This window comes from Homo sapiens, chromosome 2 (assembly GCF_000001405.40).
Source record: "Homo sapiens chromosome 2, GRCh38.p14 Primary Assembly".
NCBI lineage: Eukaryota > Metazoa > Chordata > Mammalia > Primates > Hominidae > Homo > Homo sapiens.
In genome coordinates this window covers 188,278,923-188,301,057 of record NC_000002.12, presented here as the reverse complement: position 1 = coordinate 188,301,057, position 22,135 = coordinate 188,278,923, and the positions used below count along the sequence as shown (strand labels likewise).

At 36.7% G+C, this 22,135-nt stretch overlaps 1 protein-coding gene, 1 long non-coding RNA gene and 1 other non-coding gene across 66 annotated transcripts in view, besides 4 other annotated features; 1 reads left to right on the top strand and 2 right to left on the bottom strand.

The window, feature by feature from the left end:
- The window catches only part of GULP1 (GULP PTB domain containing engulfment adaptor 1), a 304,053-nt gene extending 294,869 nt beyond the window's left edge, over positions 1 to 9,184 (bottom strand). For 24 of the 64 annotated variants that reach the window (NR_164744.1, NM_001375934.1, NM_001375927.1 and 21 more), the window contains exon 1: positions 8,892 to 9,184. The gene's annotated coding sequence lies outside the window, so the exon portion shown is untranslated. Of the gene's footprint in view, positions 1 to 6,664; positions 6,859 to 7,877; positions 8,231 to 8,446 lie in introns of those variants that run through there. The other 40 variants (NR_164745.1, NM_001375942.1, NM_001375939.1 and 37 more) reach the window with 7 other exon arrangements.
- Positions 1,247 to 2,446: an enhancer, noted in NCBI's record as "P300/CBP strongly-dependent group 1 enhancer chr2:189163339-189164538 (GRCh37/hg19 assembly coordinates)". NCBI's record gives its function as "activates an origin of replication core promoter dependent on BRD2, BRD4, P300/CBP, MED14 and CDK7 cofactors, with strong dependence on P300/CBP, by STARR-seq in HCT116 cells {active_cell/tissue: HCT116}" and the evidence as "EXISTENCE:reporter gene assay evidence [ECO:0000049][PMID:35650434]".
- Positions 1,822 to 2,116: an enhancer, noted in NCBI's record as "tiled region #8257; HepG2 Activating non-DNase unmatched - State 24:Quies, and K562 Activating non-DNase unmatched - State 9:DNaseU". NCBI's record gives its function as "activates a minimal TATA promoter and a strong SV40 promoter by Sharpr-MPRA in HepG2 cells, with weaker activation in K562 cells {active_cell/tissue: HepG2 | K562}" and the evidence as "EXISTENCE:reporter gene assay evidence [ECO:0000049][PMID:27701403]".
- Positions 3,470 to 3,566, bottom strand: MIR561 (microRNA 561). The gene has a single exon (NR_030287.1). It is a non-coding gene; the product is annotated as a microRNA 561 (primary transcript).
- Positions 6,449 to 7,332: an enhancer, noted in NCBI's record as "H3K27ac hESC enhancer chr2:189158453-189159336 (GRCh37/hg19 assembly coordinates)". NCBI's record gives its function as "activates a minimal SCP1, AML or CMV promoter by ChIP-STARR-seq in primed H9 embryonic stem cells {active_cell/tissue: H9 hESC(primed)}" and the evidence as "EXISTENCE:reporter gene assay evidence [ECO:0000049][PMID:30033119]".
- Positions 9,185 to 13,366: 4,182 nt separating the features above from the next.
- Positions 13,367 to 22,135, top strand: part of LINC01090 (long intergenic non-protein coding RNA 1090) — a 252,096-nt gene continuing 243,327 nt past the window's right edge. Inside the window, exon 1 of the long non-coding RNA NR_126396.1 lies at positions 13,367 to 13,591. This is a non-coding gene — a long non-coding RNA (long intergenic non-protein coding RNA 1090). The remainder of the gene's footprint in view (positions 13,592 to 22,135) is intronic.
- Positions 21,440 to 22,134: an enhancer, noted in NCBI's record as "OCT4-NANOG-H3K27ac hESC enhancer chr2:189143651-189144345 (GRCh37/hg19 assembly coordinates)". NCBI's record gives its function as "activates a minimal SCP1, AML or CMV promoter by ChIP-STARR-seq in primed H9 embryonic stem cells {active_cell/tissue: H9 hESC(primed)}" and the evidence as "EXISTENCE:reporter gene assay evidence [ECO:0000049][PMID:30033119]".

The following is a 22,135-nucleotide window of genomic DNA, read 5'->3' as shown; positions in this document are numbered from 1 at the left end:
GGGTGACAGAGTGAGACCCTGTCTCTAAAATAAATAAATAAATAAACAGGAACCTGGACATTCAACAGGAGAAGGAAGCAAATAAGTGTCAGTGGTGCTTGATGCTTACCATTACAGAAAACACAAAGTGAAGCCAAAAGCCAGAAAGAGACTGAAAGACAGTTATTTCTTATTGTGATCTTGACAGTATTGTCAATTTTCAAGTACAAAACTATTACCTTAGACCCATCCCTGGAACTTCAAGGTGGTCCAGACCTACTAAACTGATTTATAAATGTGAAGCTCTATATATTAACTATTTCAAATTAACAAGTTTAAAGAGACTGCTCTTGTCACATACTTCAAAAATAAAGTTGAATCATTAGTTTCAAATAAATCAAACATCAATAATAAACTAATTTTAAAATAGATGTATCTCACAGAATGGTCAAGCCAAGCAAAAAGAAGGGAATATAGCGAACTAAATTATGTTATATATGTTTTAATTATAGGTCCCCTTCATAAGATAGTAATTTGTTGTACTTGTACATATTCTAAATTCGTTTTCCAAACTTCTTAGCACACATTTAAATTTTTTATCAACAATGATCAGTAAGTAATCCACACCATATAACCAAATATATAATCTTAAATAAGTCAATGATGCATAGAAAAATTATCAAGTTTCCATATGTTCAGAAAAAAATTATTTTTTCAATATTATTCATAAAAATTGTTAATACTGGCACAGTTACTTACTACCAAGTAGATAACTATTTAACACATCTGTTCTTTATATATGAAAAATAAACAAATATAAGACAAGATGCAGAGCCAAATCATAACTCCTCCCAATATAGTTAATGCTGTGATTAAAAATTTTTTTAATTTGCATGTTCTGAAATTAAATATAAATATGAAATCGAGAGCACAACCTACTCCTTGTGATTCCAATTACATGCTGATCAGGTCTGGAGAAATGGAAAAAAAGAAAGAAAAACAAGATGGTTGTTTTGCAAGATAATCCAGCTAAAATTATTCAGCTAAAACTATTAATCCAGCTAAAACTCCTTTATGTAATTACTAATGGTTAGTTCATGAACATGGAAACATAAAGGAGGAACATCTCTATAACTGTAAAATCCACAAGTTGTTCTCCTAAACCACATTCATGGCTTCATGCCTTCTTGCCTATCCCACCTGCTCTGACTGACACTGTCCCTTTTCAATGCCTGCCCAACTCATCCTCATCCTCTGTGACTTGGTCTAAGAATCACCTGCACACATTCTTTCCATACACTGCTTCCCTTCACACTGGTGAATACCCGCTTTCCCCACTCCTCCTTCCTCAACATCCTCTGCACTGTACCTCAGAATTATATAGAAATACCAACTTCTATTTAAGTTAATAAGAGGAGGTCTCTGTCACCTACTAATCACACAACTACAAAAAGAACAAGTGTTATTTGATAAGTATTTATTAAATTCAACTGTATCATATCAGAATCTCTTTATTTGCAGATGCACAGTTTAAACACAGTTATATTTCCCAGAATGAGAAGGGGGGAAAGACTTCAAATGTATATTAAGTGAATGGAAAATCACTGAATAAAGACAAAATCTCATTGAATAAGAAAGTCCCAAAGAAAGATTCATTACATTGTAGGATACAGTAAATTCCTCTTCAAAGAACCAATATGTTAGTATATTGAGCTTCCCTGTTCTTTGTTTTCCATTTGAAAGTTTAACTTCCTCGTTCTTTACATCTCCTTGTCCCTAGCTTTAGTAAACAACCCCCTCCTAGCCTCTATCACCTGCTCTGTCCTTAGTCATCCTTAGTCACCTGCTCCCTCCTTAGTCACCTGCTCTGTCCTTAGTCATCCTTAGTCACCTGCTCCCTCCTTAGTCACCTGCTCTGTCCTTAGTCATCCTTGGTCACCTGCTCTGTAACCGTCCTTCCCACCAAAGCTTCTCACCCCGCCACTCCAGCTCATACCCCTGCTGTCTTTAAAATAGCCAGTTGGAATTATCTTAGACTGTGCGGTCCAACCCTACCCAATAGGGGAAAAACAAGCAGTAGGGACTAGCTGCATTAATAGTAAGATCCCCTTCTCCTCCCTTGTCTGGTGTGCTCTTGCCATTGCTCCATCCGTGAGAGGCACCCTTTTATAGAAGTAAATTGCCTTGCTGAGCAAACTTTTGCCTGAGTGCTATATTCACTTGGCAGCACCGAGCATTTACTTCCAACAACATCAAGTCTAAAATGTTGTTCTCTAAAACCTCATCTGTACTACTCTAGAAAATTTTATTTTTCCAAATTGATCATGAATTTCCTAGTCTGCTTAATGTAATCAGCTAAACCTATGATAACTCAGATTTTACAAATTTAGTAGTTCTTCCTTTAAAATGACTAAAGACATTAGCAATATGAGACCTCTTACTGATTTACTGCTAAGAAGCTTAAAGGTTTTTCTCCTACATATCCAGTCATGGTGATGCATTAAAACAGAAAAAATAATTCATAAAAATTTAAAGCAATAGCCATTGTTACTCTAAAACAATGCTATTTTATAAATCTAAAATACCAATAGACTTTTGCCATTTCATATTGCATTTACGTAATTTCAAATAAAATTTGTTTACTCAAATGTGACTCCTTAAAAATTCTCTCAAACTATATTCTGAGATACTACAATCCATAAACACCCTCTAATTATATTTAATTAACATATTCAGCATAGAGATAAATTGCTTTGAAATTAATTCAGTTATGCAATTGTTCTTTCTAATCAGCCAAACTTTCTCTGTATTTATTTGCACTACTAGTAAAGTTCAGTGTTTATGTTATTGGACATCTTTATGACTATAATAACACACATCATCAAGGAAGTAAAAGGAGAGTTTGATCATCAACCAAAGTCCTTTATTACTACACAGTTCCTCAAAGCAGACAAAAATAAAATAAATTACAGAGCATAACATGTAGTTTGACCTTCAAAGATACTTTACAAAATACTGTTTCTTAAAACTCTCATTAGTACTTATAACCCTATGTTTTAATTCACCTAGGTTGAAATCTGGGTAAATGAACCTATTTGCTATTAAAATTTTACTTAAAACATGGTATCTCTTGATGGTTATAAATGGCTATGAAAAAAATTGAGAAGCTAAAATCACATTTATTCTCTTATTTCAATTTTTTATCCCAAATTTGCACGTTTGCTACCATACTACAAATGTTCTGTTTGATTTTTTTTGGCTAAAATTATATTTAAAATTGATATTATCTAATTTAAATACAAACCAAATGAGAACAATAGTTATCACCTCATGAAATATTATACAGCTATAAACAGGCAAATCATTAATGATTCAGTCAGTAGATTATGTATGCTCTGAAATGATTGTCTTTATTTCTATAAGAGGGTAGACTGAAGACTGAGCCCACAGTATTCAGTCTCCTCTCTTATAGAAATAAGGATAGCCATCCATGGTTCCCCCAGGAACTTCAAGGATCTTAAACTTTGCCTTTGTAGCTCTGGCAAAGTTTAAGATCCTTGATGTTCCTGGAGGACTGGTGGATGAAGTTTCAAGAAATGGATCAACTGTAACACCTAATATTAAGAAAAAGCTGTACCATACCAGGAAAACACTACATTTGTATAAAATTCTCACTTCACAATACCTGATAAACTTATCAGTAGTATCTAACTTCTAAGTAGTGAATTTACCTTCTTACAGTAGTTAACTGTACATGTGCTTGTGTTCTACTTAAGAAGAGTAGAAAGGGCTTCCATGAGTATGCCATCATTAGAGCCTACAACAAAGAATGTAGGTAGAAGATCTTGCCAACTATTTTTCTCTTCTTTCGGAGGTATAAATAGAAGTCTAAAAACACTTTTAGAATTTGGAAAAAAGAAAAAAAAAAGGATTTCTAGGATTTCTAGCAATACTTATCTGGGAAACATTTTTAATTAGTTGTTAAAATTGGGCTCAAAAATATCAATTAACTGAAGCTATTTTTCCCTACAGAAAAACTATAGCACAAATAGAGAAACATCAAAGAATATATATGTATCATAAGTATGCACACACAGAAAGGGAGAAAGAAATGGAGACAGAGAGAGAGACAGACAAAGAGAGAGAGAACGACAGAGACAGAGAGACAGAGAGAAAGTAGTCCCCCAAAATATGGAAGTTTCTAAGGTCTATTCTGAACTTCTTCATCAGGAGGTATATGATACAGCTGATGTATAGGTACATTTATATAATGTTAATAGCAAAAAACAAACATGAAATAAAGGCAGGTATTGATATCTAGATGCACTCTCTTAGTTGCATCCTAGAAAATACATACAAGGCTATTCAAAACTTCCTTTAAAAAGCCATATTAATCTTTGCAATTTAGCACAAAATATACTGAAAATCTTAATTTCTATATAAGTTAACTTACTTATTCATATTATGTGTGCAAATTAGGGCAGCCTTTTCAAAACTATTTTTAAGTATACTACACTGAAAGACAAAACTAATTTCAAATTCGCCATAACTATACCATTTCAATGTAAACAGAAAATTGACACTTACTATCCCACACAATATTTGAGTCAATTAACTGTCCTCTGATGACAATCATGCATGGTAAGCATCATTAGAGTGGCTGAAAACATTTCTTAGGCATAAAACAAACAAAAAACTCGCAAATAACAAGGGCCTGAAAACAGTATAAGCATTGTTTTCTAAGTCTTACTCTGGAACAATGACTTTTAGCCATTCTCTTTAAAAATAAAGGCCTGATTTCAATTTCATATCCCCAGTATTTGAAAGTGAAGCGATTTCTCCATTCAAAGTTATACCATTTTTTCCTCTTCCAATCTGAGTATATTTTATGCTCTTATGGGAAAAAGCTTAAGTTTCCTGATCTCTAAATGCATTAAGGCAAACAATATTAGATCCACCAGCCTCTAATACGTTTAGGGACCAGGGCTCATGGCAGTTATGCAGTTAGCTTCTGTAACTATCTTTGAATTCATTATTATACTGAAATAAAATAACTTTTTTTATTCTTTAGAGGTTTTAGAAAACAAATTGCAATATCGCGAATTGAATCACAAATACATCACTCTGCTAAGTAAAATTTAAATTAAAATCACCTACCATTCATCAATGGAAATAAGAATTTTAAGGATTTCTAATTTAAAATGAAAGGTAAAATTTGACATTTTATATTAAAATTACCCTAATATATCCTCAAACAGCCACTTGTTCAAGGATACCCATAGTGTAAGTTTCAACCCAACTACTATATCCCATATACACGTGCTTTTTACAGATTCACTATTAATTATAATATAAAGTCTAAAAATAAAAGCTATGACTAGGTATTTTAGCAAAAGACTTTATCCTTTAAACAATTTATCTATACTTATTCTGTTTTCTCTAATAAGTTGATCTGTTCACCCGAAAAAGAGTTAAGTTAAACATCCATGACTGTAGCACAGTACAATGAACCATAAAAATATGTAGTATATTTTACTAATTGACATGTCACACTAAAAAGTAAATATTTCACAATGATCATAATGAATCAACAATGAACAGGCTCATAAATTATAGACAGAAACATAGGCAATAAATGATATGTTGGAAAAATGTTTAAGAAGTAAAATAACATGCACAGAAATCACAGAGCTGAGAAGTTCGGTGCTGATTGGAATACAGGCCCGATGATGCATGATATGCATGCAACAAACATTGGCTGGATTTATTAATGAATGGCTCCAAAATCTATCCTCCAAATTCTTAAGGAAATTGTTGTGGCCATTAAGAAAAGAAAGTCTGTTTGTATGTCATAAATATATTTCAGCTTCTCAAGCATTATTTCTGAGAAGAGAGCCAAGTTCTGTGAATATACTTGGTAACTTCTCATAAAGGTAAAATTAAGCTGGACTTTAAAAATAACTGGTCTTGTGTATAAATATAAACTGAAATAAAAATAAATGAATGTGCTAATTGTTCTTTTCTGTTTGAGAAAATGACTCAGCCTTAACCATAACAAAATCTCCCTTATATCCTCAAAAATTAAAATGTATGATTAAATTAAAGCTATGATTAAAATGTAAAAGTGGTAATTTTTATAAATTAGATCCAGATATGTCATTATTACATGGGTATTCAACATAGAAGTATTCCTATTTTATCCCCATAAACTCAACTGAGTCAGCTGAGTCAGAAATCCTATGACCTTTATGTCGAAAAGCCTATTAACATTATTTCATCTCTTTAATTCTCACAATAATCTTGTAATTATGTAAAGGAAAGTTTCTTTACTTTGCAAGTGGAAAAACTGAAATCATAGTCAGGGAAAACATTTGGCTGAGGGTGATTCACAAAGTGAGTCTCAGAAAGCAGGCTAATATTCACAATCTCAAACTCTTAAATACAGAGGAAATATAAACCACATTAGTTTGTTTGTTTGTTTGTTTGTTTTAACCATTTAACCCCTAAGCCCACAATAGTAAACCTACAACCCACCTCTCTGAAGAAAAAAAAAAGAGAGATGAAACATACACAACTTTAATACACAAAGAAGAGTCTGAATTGCAGTTAAGGCTTTGAGTTCCTAGCTGGTTTGGAATTAGGAAGCAGTAAAGGGCAAATGTGTGAAATACTGAGATCATCTCACCTTTTACTTCTTTACATGAAAGAGCAAGATCTGTTTATCAGGATCACTTTTGATAAGCACAAAGAAGTCATGCCGGATACGTTTCTACTTTAATTCCATGACCCAAATCCATGCTAGCTGAGAATACGTAATTGAATTATTCAATTTAGGTAGAAAACCATCTGCTCAAACCCTTAAGTCTTCAATTCTTGCTGCTATGAAAACAAAGTAAGGCCGAAGTCAAGGAATTGAAGTTGCAGCAAACCTCGTCCAAGGAGACAAACAGCAACAAAGTGTGGGCATTTGCAAAGTATGATCAGCACAAACAGCATCAGGCCCCCAGCTATTCCACTGCAACACTGATAAGGAAAGTTCAGACTTTGCTCCTGGAGCCCTTTTTGTAATTTCCTCGGTCATATCCAACTGCACTCTATGCTTAGTTTATTTTTTTGCCAAGAAGACTGATCTTAGCCACCTAAAAATTCTCATTGCAAAAGAAACCTCTTGTTTAAACCCCAAGTGCAACCGACAGCCCCTTTCCAATTAGCCCCTGCAACTTGCCCAGTCTCTTTCATGCCTGGCTACTGAGCTCAGTCTAGTTTGGCTGCCGGCCAGGTTCCTCTCTTTTTTTCCTTGTCAGTCGTAAAAACTTGGAAAACACTCCTGGACAGCTCAAGGAGACCTTTAATTATGCAGTGGGGCAGTACCTTAGCCTGTCTGCTGTTTCCAGCAAAGCCTGTAGTCACCAGCGACTGCACTCTCCCAATTTGTGGGTTTTCCAGCCAAGGCTACTTGTTCATATGGGGGGAAAAGGGAAAGACTGGCAGAGAAAGGGAGCAATTTGCAAATTTGAAGAATTTCCAATTCCTCTGAAAGTTTTCCACTTCCTCACATTCACTCTGTCTAATAATCTCCCTTACTTTAGCACCTAATCACCCATTTTGTAATACAGACACAAAATCATCAGTATTGTCTCCTGCTAGTCCTAGAAATCAGTCATGACTTGAACATTCTCCGTAACTTTTTATTCTCAAATGTTGGTGTAACGTATTTTAAAAGCAGGCACAAAATAAATTTATTAAATCCTTCCTAATTGACTGCATTACACTTTGTCAAACTTGCAGATTGAAATAGTGCATGTAAAATGTCTGATTGCAAATGAGTAAGGCGAGCTCAGTTGGGAAACACTACTAGGACCTAGGGAGGGGTACCTTGACTGCCAGCCCTCACTTACTTGGAGTTTGCCCAGCGTACCAAGTGGACCCGCCAAGCCCAACACCAGCTAAGTCTTCCTTACTCTACCTTGGCACGCTAGTTCCAGCTGCAGCGTCCAGCTTCCTGTTCAAGTCCCATTCAACATCGTAAACACATTCCAAGAAAACCAGCCTGCCCAGAGTTCCCTCCCGCACACAGGGAAGTCAGCGCGGCAGCCGCAGGAGCCTCAGAATAGAGAGAACTGCCTGCTCCGGATTCTGATCCGTGTGGCGAGTGAGGCCACGAGAAGGTGGACCCGGCCAAGCGAATTTAGCAGTCGGAGCGAGAACCCAAGGGCTCATCACCCCCGCCGCGCCTTGCGCCCTCCAGAAGAAGCTACTTGACCCGCGCAGCAGAAGGGTAACCATGTGGACGCCGCCCCTTCCTTTGGGCCCTCCCAGCTCTGAGCTTTAAAGTATCCGCGGCCCGGCCTCGGAGCTTCGCGCCTCCCCACCCCCATGCCCACATTCTCTCCCAGCGCCAACAAAAGGGAGGCTGCCCTGGAAGTTCGCTCCTGGGTCGCCTCGCTGTGACCCGACGATGACTTGCCTGCTCAGCCCAGTCTGATCCACGCACCCTCAGCCGGACGGATCCACGGTTTCCCCACCGCCTCCCTCCAGTTCCTGCTCACCGGCCCCCCGCCGCCGGACCAAAGTTACCACAAAAGGCTAAGGAGGTTTCTGGAGCCCGGAGACCGCTGCGTCCCCGACCTCGCTGGACTCCCCCAGTCATTTCTCAAGCGCTGCCATAGCAGGCGTCAACAGGTCTTAGCCTCCTTTAGTGCTGGACGACTCCCTGAGCATTTAGCTGTCCTAATTTTTTACAACCTGCTGGCCAGCGGCTACGCGCAGCCCCGCGCCCTCCTTCCCGGGCACTGGTGGCCGGAGCTGTCCACCCCCACCGCCCCTCGGGATATCAGCTTCTAAGCGATTCCACGCTACCTGGAGGGAGCCTGGGTTCGCAGCCAGGGAAGAGCCTAGATAAATCTCCGTACCTCACTGAGAGAGGCAGTCGGGTCAGGCTTCGGGCAGGGGCGTGGAGAGCTGCCGGTTCCTCCGAGCCTGGCGATCTCCACTCCGGCACGGCCGGGGCGCCGTCTCCGAGGCCGAGAGGGAAAGTTTCTCTACGCCAACACGGCGCTGGACTCGGGACCCTCCAGCTTCGGTCCCCTCCCTCTTCGCGCTCTCTCCCCCCTCCCTCCTCTTCCTAATCCGCCGAATCCAAAACTGGCGCTGGCGGCAGCTGGGACGCGGGGCTGGGGACTCCGGGTCGCTCCCGGCCGGGAACGCCGGGCTCCCCCTCTCGGTGAGAAGGAAACTCTAGCCGACTCCGGCTTGCGCACTTCTGGCGGTCTCCTTGGACATTTCCACACGGGACGCCTGTGTTCAAGCTCGCTGACTTTCCTTCTTTAATCTCTGATGGTCGTTATCTGTGGGCCCACTGGACTATCTCGCGCGTGCACGCGGAACCGGAGGTGGGTGGAGGGTGGAATGAGAGAGAAACCCATCCGCAGAAGGAGGGGCCCTACCTTACTCAGTCTTCAGCCCGGACAGAAGCAAAACCACAGGCCCCCTCTCCCACCCCACTCGCGCCGCGTTTCCTTTCCAGCCTCTTCCCTGAGACACTAGATCAGGACCATTTGCCTTTTCTTATCTCTGTGTGTTTCCTAACACAATTTTAAAACACCTCTGAGGCTTCATAGAGGGGTAAAGTGTCAAAAGAAATACACGAATAAGAGTAAAACGTGCCGTCTTCACAGCCTTTATCAAGAAAGCAGCCACAGTTGCTGCTGCTCTGGCCGCACCTCAGCGGACTGGTTTGTCCTCATTGGTTTGTCCTCATTTGTTTTTTAACTCGGCCTTAATCTCTGGACTTTGTTATGCCTTAAAACAGACACACACATACACACACTTGAAAATTGCCTTAACCCCCAGATCATACTCATTTGTTCCATTCAGATGTTTACCTCGGAATTAAGGACTTCTGTATAGGATTTGAGAGAAAACACAACAGCCCATTCTTACTGACCTTTGGTAAAGTTCTGCGTGGGAAAGGGAGCAAGAAGGAGTATCCTTATATAAGAAGTTCTTCAAGGATGAGAGGACCTTTACTAAAATTTTTTCTGCTGCTCAGAATTTAGTTTACTAAATTTTAGTTTGAGTGTGAAAATAGATGAGAAAAGGAAAAAGGCATTTTGCAAAGCTAGCAGTTATAATGTATTACAGTGGATCCAGGGCTTAGAGTCAGACAGGCCAGATTCCATTCCAAACTCCATCTTTACGCTTTCTGTGCCTACCAATTATAACTGTCAACAGGAATTCTATAATCTAGCTCACGGAGTCACAGTCACATTTACAGGAGTTAAAATAGAGTTGTGATAGGCGCAGAGAAAATACTCAATAAATATTTGGTTCTTATATCCCACCATGTTTTACTGTAATTAGGAGAGAGGGTGGTGCTAGAAATTTTCCCCCAAAGACCCTGTAACTGAATCAGTTTTCTTCTCCTTAATGCTTTTTCCATTTAAAAAGGCATCATTTCACAATTTTTGAAATGGAAACTATGTTTACAGATTAACTAGTTCCAGCTGAACTCCCTTATTTTAAATACAAGGTAACTGAAGTCTAGGGCTCTTAAGTGACTTTCCCCAAATCTCATGGTTTGGAGGTACTAAAGCTAATATCAGAAATCAGTCCTCATAATAACTTGGCTGGGGTCCTCTTTTAACTGTTTTTCTCTTTATCACAATAGTCAAGCACACATAAAAATAATTATATTAAAAATATTAATCTCAGGACAAATGCTAGTTTTTTTCTGTAAATAACTCTTAAGCAATTAATTTATGAACAATCATTAAAAATTAAATAATGTCATTTAGATGATCACTTGGTATCAATGTGATTATAAAAATAAAACAAATGGTAGTCCAGTATTTAGGAATAAGGAGGTTGATGAGATGAACGAATCCATGCTTACATTATATATTTACACATAGATATTTTGGGTTTTTTAGCCATAATATTAAAAGATTATAATAACTCTCGATTCCCAAGAATACATCAACATACCACTACAGTTGGCTGACCCTAGTTTGTGAACAACTAGATCAGTGTTCAGGACACACAATTCAACTTGAACAAGTTCAAGGCCAAAGAACAAAATCAGGCTACAGAGATCAAACTTTCCATCCTGTGAAATAATGGAAAATCCCATAGCATGTACTTATTTCTCATTCATTTGCCTCTAGTACCTGTAAGAAGGTCTTTTTAAAAAATTCTTCCTTACCATATACAATGTTGAAAATCATCTGAACATTTACATAACTAACTCCCATGTTCTCAGGGATGAGACCCTATATACTCCTTCTAAGTAAGAGTTATTTACTACTCCGGCCTCATCCTCAGTTTCCTAAAGGCATATCATAGCCTCTTTAGAGATCTGTCTTTCCTATCCATAAGACTTGGAAGATCCTAAAGAGGGAAAAAAAAATATGGCTACAAAGCACATCCATCATGAATGGATAAATGAAGATAGATGAGTCCTCATAACTGTCTTTTTCCAATCGTTACATACAGTGCTAAAGATTACTCACTTTTATATTTTCTCCCACTGTTTAAAGTCTTTAAACTTGCTATTGCTTTGTAATTTTTATAACCTGACTTTTGATATGATCTTCTTTGTGAAATGGCTTAGAGGTATAAAAATCTCAAGAGTGTCAGAACCAAGTTTTTAAAAACAATAGAACCAAATGGAACAAGATTTTAAAACAAATTTATAGCATGCCCCAGGAAGTGAAGAAGGGAGATGCCAAAGAAAAGGGTTGCAGAAGCCTAGCAGGGCACTACGATGACAAATACGCCTAATTTTACCTACTGCAAATACCTCAGATTTCCATTTGAAAGTTCTTCACATTCATCATAGGTTCATATAGACCCTGATAGAAACTCAGCAGCTTTCCAGTAATTTTTATTTTTATTTATTTATTTATTTTTTTTTTTTGAGGCGGAGTCTTGCTTTGTCGCCCAGGCTGGAGTGCAGTGGTGCGATCTTGGCTCACTGCAAGCTCCGCCTCCGTGTTCACACCGTTCTCCTTCCTCAGCCGCCCGAGTAGCTGGGACTACAGGCGGCCGCCACCATGCCCGGCTATTTTTTTTTTTTTTTTTTTTTTTTTTTGTATTTTTAGTAGAGACAAGATTTCACTCTGCTAGCCAGGATGGTCTCAATCTCCTGACCTCGTGATCCACCCGCCTCGGCCTGCCAAAGTGCTGGGATTACAGGTGTGAGCCACCACGCCTGGCCTCCAGTATTTTTAAATTAATTTTCTTGCTCAAACCAGAATTAAGTTTCTCTTACCCTAACTAAGGGAACTTTGGCTAAGACAAAAAAACGACCTGTTACTTACCTTAAGAAAACCAATTTTATTTCTGATTATTGCAAAAGCACACAAAAAATATGCTGGTTGTTTAGCCCTATATTTCTGCAAAACCAACATTTAAAGTATTTGACAACTTTTTAAAAACTGTAATGAAAACCAAGACTGAAATTCAAATTTCAGTCATGTGATTTGAAAGGGGGTCATGTTTCTGTTTGTCATGTGTAACAGTGGCCAAATATCCTATGAGTTCCTAGGGGCTCTGGGTTCCAAAGTTACTGTGTTACATTTACCTTCAAACCTCTATCATTTTATCTGTCATTCTGAAAGAATCGCTTTATTTTGATCTTCTTGATTAAGAACATGAAACATGACCATTGCAAAAAAAGAAAAAAAAATAGGAGGGCAACTGCAAAAGGGAAATAAATATCACCTGTATTCCCATCACCAAAAGTACCTATTGCTCACATTTTCTCTATATGCTCCAAGGTTTGTTGAGGCCTCTGAGAGACCCGGATAAATAGTATCCCTTCTTTATGCCTGGGTGGGGAATAAATTGACCAAAAAAATGAGAGCAAAATATTACTCTATGATTGACAGATAACGGATTTGAATTGGTAGATCCAAAAGCAAAGAACTGAAACAGCAGCCTCAGTCAACGTAGTTCCTGGCCTCCTTCTAACCTGAAAGGAGACAGTGCCTTTGAAAAAGGATTTAAATTGTTTTTTGAGTTCTATTCCAAAGAATGAAAGAGAGAGAAAGGTAGTTGAGCCTGGCATGCCCAGCAATTCTTCCCAAGTTTATTCCTAAGTTTATCTACCAAATGTCATAACATCTCTCCAAGGGCAAGTAAGTAAAGACCCAGTAAAATATTTTTGCATGGAAACCAGGAGTAGAGGAAAGGCATTACCCAGCACCCACAGACACTTAACAATTTTCTTTCCATTTTTTTCATGTGGAAGTATAACGTACATACTACTCCTTTTTTTTTTTTTTTTTTTTTTTTTTTTGAGACGGAGTCTCCCTCTGTCGCCCAGGCTGGAGTGCAGTGGCGCGATCTCGGCTCACGGCAAGCTCCGCCTCCCGGGTTCACGCCATTTTCCTGCCTCAGCCTCCTGAGTAGCTGGAACTACAGGCGCCGCGCCACCACTCCCGGCTAATTTTTTTATTTTATTTTATTTTTTATTTTTAGTAGAGACGGGGTTTCACCGTAGCCAGAATGGTCTTGATCTCCTGACCTCGTCATCCGCCCGCCTCGGCCTCCCAAAGTGCTGGGCTTACAGGCGTGAGACACTGCGCCCGGCCCATACTACTACTTTTTTGTAAGTATTCTTTCAAAATATTTATTTTCATATGCATTTTTCGTTTACCTAAATGACATCATGTAAACTATTCCATCTTGGCCCTTAATTTTTTTTCTCCAAACACTTAAATTTTCAAATAATCTTAGTGAAAAATTAGCAGCTCAATCGCTTTAATTTTTATTACTTTCACTGTTAATAAAACTGAATAAGTTTTCATAAAGTTAATAACCGTTTATATTTTCTTTTGTGAGGTGGCTATTTATATATTCTGTACATTTTTCTCTTTTCTCTATTGTTTCATATATTTTTTCTTTTTCTTATTGATTTTTAAAGGTTCTGTATGAGGTAAATATATTAACCTCTAGCCAAAAAACGGGTATTTGTCTTATTAACTTAATTAAAATAATTAAATTATTTTGTTCTATTTTAAAACTATGTAGAATTTCTTTAAATGTAATCGGTTTATGATTTCTTGAGTTTTTAAAAAATATAATGACATTTCACCCAAACTAATTAGCAATATTTTCTTCTAGTATTTTGTAGTTTTCGTTTTTCAATTTATTCTGATGTGAAATCTAAAGATAGGGCTTTTGTTTCCCCCAGAATAATGACCTAGGTGTCCAACACCACATATTGAATAGATCCATTCTTTGTCCAGTGATTTTAGCAGTAATTTTTATCATATGTTAACTTAGATATAAAACAGGGTCTGTTCAATCAGAACTTCCAGGTGTGGTCAAACAGCATGCAAAATGCAGTAAGACACCTAAAAAAGGTCCAGTGCAGAATAAAATCCAGCCAAGCTCTTTTGCCAGCCAAGCCAATGGAGCTTGCGAGCAAGAAGAAAGGGATATCTTTTCTAACTACAAAGGCATCTTCGGCTCCTAGCCAAGCACCTGCAGAGCTTCCTTGGAAAGAATTGGGCATCATGTGGGCTAGCGGTAGTCCTTTCCCATTTAATAGTCAGTGTATTTCTGCAATAGAACATTATTAATTATCTCAAACTATCATTGTTTAAAATATCTACTGGGGCAAATTCTCCTTTATTATTTTCTCCCCCTTTCAAAGGTTTCATCACTATTCTCTCAAAGTTATTTTTCCAAATGAACTTTGGATCCATTCTGTTAAGTTTCCTTGTCACAACTTCCTATTTCCTACCTTTGCCCACAAAAGTCTTCTGTTAGAAGTGTGTTCAACTCATGTATCAATTTACTTGAATTCACTTCATTATTCAATTTTTTCTTCTGATCCTGAAAAAGGATGCTTTTTCAACTTGAAAAGACCTGACTCTGCACCCATTCAAATTATATTTTTACTCTCCAATCTATTAAATTACCACTTGTTAAGTTCCATGTTGTTGCTAAGAGTGAAAGGGCCATTTTTCTACAACAATTGCAGGACATAAATAATACTTGGAATAGAAGAGCCCTACTTAACACGAGTAATGAGAGAAAGCACAGATCTTAATCAAGGGTCACATTTCTGCTTCTTGTTCCAGTTCATGTGCACTCTAGATGATAGTGAATGAATACCTTATATGGAGTCCAGCCATGACCAAAAGACAGGAGCTAACACTCAGCTTCATGGAAAGGCCCAATCTAATGTCCAGGAATAGACTCCTGAGGTATGGTCTTCTGCCACAGAGCTTTCAGGCCTAGAAAATTTGCTTGAAGCAGTTTTACTTGCTTGAAAAACTGCTGCGATAAGAAGATATTTTTTTCATTTGAAGTCTCACATACTTAAAATACAAAAATAGAACAAAGACATTGCATTGCAAATAGAATTACAGTCTTATTTTCTTAATAGAGTAAAAAATAAATTGTCTAAAATGATTTTTGACAAAGGAAACTTTTTATTTGAAAATTATGATTTGCAGTCTTTCACTAGAATGCTAATTTATTAACTCTCTTCAAAATCCTGTATCAGAATTTACTCAGGCTTGCTGATAGGGCTTAACAAAAAAGCAAAGCTAAGCAAGGCACCTATACGCTTGGGCCTGACATAATGTGATTTGAGAAAATGTCATCATGCTTTAAAATGCAAAGCGCCTATCACAACCGAACAACAAAAGACGTTCTCTCATTGAGTATCTTTTCCATAACAGGGCTAAAATAATTCTGAGAGTGGCTTTTCTGTAAAAGGCAGTCTGTGGCAAGAATTGTTGGAACAGAGACTTGCCATGCTGGTTCTGCATCAACAGTCTCTCTAGCTCAGCAATCTGAGAATACACACGGATAAAGTGCTATCAGTTCAATGGAAATTGGCAGGTTTTCAGAGGGTGTGACTGCAGAAGACTATTGTTCAATTTCAAAAATGAAACCCTCCAGAAGCAATTTCAAAGTTATACAAATCTTTCACGTATACTGAGAGTGCAGGTGAAGATCATCCATTTTCCACATAAAAATAAATTGTTAAGGACTTTTAAATGAACACCCCTACCTAAAATGCAGTGTTCTGTTTGGAAATCTGTACATTATACAAGTGAAGAGCATAATAAATCTTGAAAAAAATTAAATTTTTTTCATTGAAATATTTTTGTAGAGTGCCATGAGTTTGGGGGAGAACTAGTGAAATGTACATCAACAATTTTATAGATTTATAAGACAGTTCTTAAAGTGTCAAGAAAGCTGTCATGGCTTAAATTTTATTTACCGAATTAAGCTTCAGATATTTCTTATAAAAGTGAACTTCAGGCTGTTGAGTTTTGAAGGGTGAAGCATAGGATAAAGCTTTAAAGCATGTGCTTTGGAGTCCAAAGTCACGGTTAAAATGTATTCTCTACTACTTACTGACTGTGAAATCTTGGACAAGTCACTTTCTTCTCTGTATTAGTTCATTCTCACATTGCTATAAAGAACTACCTGACACTGGGTAATTTATGAAGAAAAGAGGTTTAATTGACTCAGAGTTCCACAGACTGTACAGGAGGCATGGCTGGGAGACCTCGGGAAACTTACAATCATGGTGGAGGGAGAAGGGGAAGCGAGCATGTCTTCCCATGGCAGAGCAATATACAGAGAGCAAAAGGGGAAGTGTTATTCACTTTTAAACAACCAGATTTCATGATAACTCACTCACTATCACATGAATAGCAAGGGGAAAATCTGCCCCCATGATCCAATCACCTCCCACTGGGTCCCTTCCCCAACATTGGGAATTACAATTCAACATGAGATTTGGGTGGGAACACAGAGCCAAACCGTATCACTCTACTTTAATATTAGTTTTCTTATTTTTGAAACAGTTGTCAAGATTAATTGAGTTAATAAATGTAAAGCACTTAGCATAATCTGGCAAGTAAGTATAAAATAAATAATGGCTTTTCATGGAAACAGGTAAAACTATCAAAACTTTTGATATGTTAGTGAAAGTTTTTCATGAAACTGAATCAATATGGGTCAAAATAAAAGGAAAACAATAGCTTTGGCTGAAATTAATCTATAGATGTACATTTTTCTTGGAAAAAATAAAAATATTTTTGGTGTTATTTTTGTCTAGAAAGAATAATGATTATTTCTATGATTATTTTTATTTTTTAACCAATCTACAGAATTCATTCAGATATCCCCAGATTTTCTTTTTATTTTTCAACCTTTATTTTAGATTTGGGGGTACATGTACAGGTTTTGGTATGTTGAGTGTATTACCTGGGTGTATTGTGTGATGATGAGGTTTGGGGTACAAATGATCTCATCACCCAGGTACTGAACATAGTACACAACAGTTAGTCCTTCAGCCCTTGTCTCCCTCACCTTCCTAGTAGTCCTCAGTGTCTATTGCTGCCATCTTTATGTCCATGAGTACCCAATGTTTACCTTCCACTTATAAGTGAGAACATGCTGTATTCAATTTTCTGTTCCTGCGTTAATTTGCTTAGGATAATGGCTTTCAGCTGCACCCATGTTGCTGCAAAGGACATAATTTCATTCTTTTTTGTCTGTATAGTATTTAGTGGTGTATATGTACCACATTTTATCAAATCCACTACTAATGTGCAATTAAGTTGATTCCATGTCTTTGCTATTGCGAATAGTGCTACAATAAACATACGAGTTTGTGTGTCTTTTTGGTAAAATTAATTGTTTTCTTTTGGATATATACCAAGTAAAGGGAGTGCTGGATCAAGTGGTAGTTCTAAGTCCTTTAAGAAAGCTTCAAACTGCTTTCCACAGTAGCTGGACTAATTTACATTCCCCTCAACAATGTATAAACATTACTTTTTCTTTCTAGCCTTGCCAACCTCTGTCTTTTTTTACCTTTTAATCTAGCCATTCTGACTGGTATGAGATGGTATCTCATTGTTCTTTTGATTTGGATTTCTCTGATGATTAGTGATGTGAAGCAGCTCTTCATGTTTGTTGGCTGTTTGTATGTCTTCTTTTGAGAAGTGTCTGTTCATGTCTTTTGCTCATTTTTAGTGAAATTTTTTGGTTGTTGCTTAATTGTTTAAGTTCTTTACAGATTCTGGACATTAGATGTTTGTTGGATTCATAGTTTGAGCATATTTTCTCCCATCCTTTAGGTTGTCTGTTTCCCCTGCTGATAGTTTCTTTTCCTGTGCAGAAACTCTTTAGTTAATTAGGTCCCACTTGTCAATTTTTGTTTTTGTTACAATTGCTTTTGAGGACTTACTCATAAATTTTCTCAAGGCCAATGTCCAAAATAGTGTTTCCTAGATTTTCTTCTCAAAGATATCTCCAGTTTTTCTATCAATGCCCTTTTTCTATTCCAGAATTCCACATAGCATTTATGTCTCTTAGTCTCTTCTAATCTGTGACAGTTCCTTGATCTTTTCTTGTCTTTCATGACTTTGACACTTTTGAAAGGTGATGGTTTAGTATCTTGTAGAAAGTCCCACAAATCAAGGTTGTCTGCTGTTTTCTCATGGTTAAACTGGGGTTATGAGTTTTGGGGGAAATTTTCACAAAAGTAAAGTATCCTCATTGCATCATATTGGGGTACGTGACATTGACATGAGTTCACACGAATAATGGTAAGTCAGTATAGATGGTGTCTGCCAGGTTTCTTCACTGTAAAGTTACTATTTTCCCTTGGTAATTAATCAATATTTGGGGAGAGATACTTTGAGACAATACAAGTATGCTGTTTCTCTTAAACTTTTACCCACTAGTTGTAACATGTATTGGTAGCATGTAACATGTAATATTGGCACATGGTAACACTAGTTGTAACATGTACACTAGTACATGTAGTTGGTACATGGTAACATTATATATAAAATTATTTATACATAATTTAGAATTATTTTGTAAGGAAGAAGGATTTCTTTTCCTTCTCTTTTTACAGTCATCTTTTAGCTTAGTTCAAATCTTAAAATAATGTCTGCTCAATGAACTAGACTAAATGTACATCTAGGGAGCAAGAATGATGGAGATCAGACCTGCCCCAGAAGTTCCATCACCATTCATTCAGTATTCAGTATTGTGTTTCTAATGTCAGTCACTGAGCTAGTGTAGGAGAGATGATGATGAGTAAGTACAGCCTCTACCCTTAAGGAGCTCACAGTCCAGTAGAGGGAAACACAATGTAATAAATAAAATTATAAATAAATGTGGTTAGGCACTAAAACAGATATATATTTCTTCATTGTGGGCAAGATATAGTAACAATTTAAAAAGCAGTCATGTTGTCAAAATGAGAGCTGAATTTTGAAAAGTGATTGTGTGTATAGCAGGTAGACAAGAAAGGGAGAAACATTTATGGCAGAGGAAATGACATTATCAAAGCCTGAGAAACCTGAAATAGCAAGAGAATATGAAGAAGTTGAAATAGCTTAGTGTGTTGGGGAGCATTGGATCAGGGTCTCAAACTTTATAGGGACTGGGAGCTACTGCAAGTCTTATGGACAATTTTGTTTTAGAAAAAGCACTCTGGTGACCATTTAAGAGAAGATATTGAAGTTATGTGAGATTGGAGGTAAGAAACGCCAATGAAGAGAGTTAGAGTCTCTTATTATCAAACTTATTATCAGGTGTCTGATCTGCTAAATACAAGAGGGTGTAGAAATGACAAACTTTAGAGTGATGTGATTTTTATATTGTATTAAGAGAACATACCAGGGAGAGGGTCTTACAGCTTTGATTTTTCAAAATGAATTTTCAGCTCTGGTCATAACCCATTAACATGTTTGAGTACCTTAAATTCCGTATTATTAGGATTTTCAGTACTGCTGACTACTTAGAACAGTTAGTGTCATGATTATAGAAAAATCTAGATTTGTTGGAGACTGCTTTTGTCTAGCTATCTTCACAGTCTTACAATGTACATTTTCATAATCTTTACTAGTTTGCTGGAAATTAAAGAAGTCTAGGTATCTCAAGGGACCTATCTTATCTATAATCCTAAAGTTATATTTATTCAGGAAGTACCACCCTTTTAATTACTCTAAGTCAATATTTAATCCTAGCTGTTAGGAAACTTTAACGTCATGGGAGTGAGGTCAGTTGTTGAAGAAATTCCAGAAAAGTGGAAAGATAAATAATAGAAGAACATTCCAGTTATAAGTGAACAATTTGGAGTCTAAATAATGCAATAGTATGACCTTCAGTAAAGGAGCACAATCAAATGACAATCAGATAGTAAGAGAACAGGGAAAACGTGCTGACATCATTCACTTCTTACATTCCCATTTCCATCTGGGGCTACCCATTGGCCAAAACCAATAGAAAATCTGAAGGCAATGAAACAGTTGGATGCAGTTTCTATGGGTCAGTCTTTTATAGAACAGAGCAGGATAAAGAAAGATGGAAAGTATATCTAAAGATATTCAGTGCATTTTAACTAATATTTTGTAAGGCTCCAGACTTATCTTTATTTAGATTGCATTTTTTTAATATACATCTCTAATGATAGAGGGGTTTTAATCAATATAAATGTTTGGAATTTACTACATTTAAGGAAGCCCAGGACTTATTAACATTTTGAATATGTTTTATCACTTTTAAATAAATTTTACAGTTATTGGAAACAGAAAGAATATACAAAGATACAGAAATCACACACATACTTGAAAGTAGTTGTATATGTCATTTTATGTAATGGAAGAATGATATGAAATAAAAAATGATTATAGTTTACAGGCTTAAAAACTTCAGTTTCCTACTGGGCATCGTGAAATCCAATTTGACATTAAAACAAATAGGAAAACCCACAATAGATATTTAGAAAAATCATTTACATAATGCTCAGACATCAAAAACTTCTTAGATGCCTTTAGGCAAAGCATAATATGTTTTTATGATACTAACATTCAAATGTCTTCTTCAAGTGAAGTATATGATGTAGGAATCCGGTTTTTGTGTGTGTCTGTTAGTACAATGCTTGAATTTTCACATGGATAATTGAACAGTATTGTCATCATCTACTTCAAATAATGTTTAAGAGTAGTAGAGATTACAATATTAATAAGTTGAGTATTACCACTTATTATTTTTACTACTATGAAAAAAATTTCTTTTTATAGTAAATCTTTAAACTGAGACAATATTTAAATACACACTTAAATACAAAAGTCAAAGTAAATGACTTTTTACAAATTTGAGATTCTTTTTCAGAATATTCTATTTGTATCAGTTTAAAAAATTAGTTTCGGTTAGCCAGACCCTTGTCAAAAGTACCTTAGAAATATGATTTTTTTTTCTGGTAAGCATTATTAGTTTCATTTTTATAGAAAGGAGGTAATTTTTGCAGACTATACACCACTAACAAAAGGCAGAGGAGAGTTTTAACCTATTTATTTATTTAGTTTGTTTACTGAAAGTCTTCAGGCTACAATTATATTGAGATGTTTTCTATAGCTTTCAATTTCAATATTGGTTTTCAGCAATATGAAAATATTATTCTGTTTACAAAAATGATTACATTTTAAATTGATATAATAGTTTCTGTCATAAAGATGAGTACTAAGCCTCTTACATAAGTGGTCTTGTCAAGTCTAAAACAAAGAGTTAGAGATCATGTTTGAGAGAAGTAATGTAGTGACATAGAACACAACAATCACCGAACAAACAAAAAAAAATGCCTGGGCTGAAGGCAGAACAATGGGGTCTGGGTTTTGGTTATGCCCCACCAGAGCTCTGTGAGTCAGTTGTAGTAGCCCAGGATAACATTTTATGGTATTAAATAAGATATTGTTTTACATGCTTCCTTGTACCCATTGTTCTGGTAACAACATTTCCTTCACATACAGGTGCAGGCATTCTGGCTTTTGAGCTCCTAATTAGGCTTTCAGAAGCCCAAACTGCAAACAATAGCTTGAAAGTTACAGTGCTTTTGATTTCCAAATGATAGGCTTTATTGAGAGAAAAAACGTTTCGTTTGGAATTTCTAAAACTGAGTTTGGCATACTGAAAGCAAGGCTGGCAGAACTAATGCCAAGAATCAGAATAGAGAAGAGTGATAATCTAAAACAATTTTCTTACCCCAAATAAACAAATAAAAAAGGGTCTAGCTGTGGGATTCTAGGAACAGCAGAAGTAGCTGCCTTGGCTCTGTGGATAGTCAGGAAGCTCTATACCTTTCACCTTACTGGAGAGTTAGGAG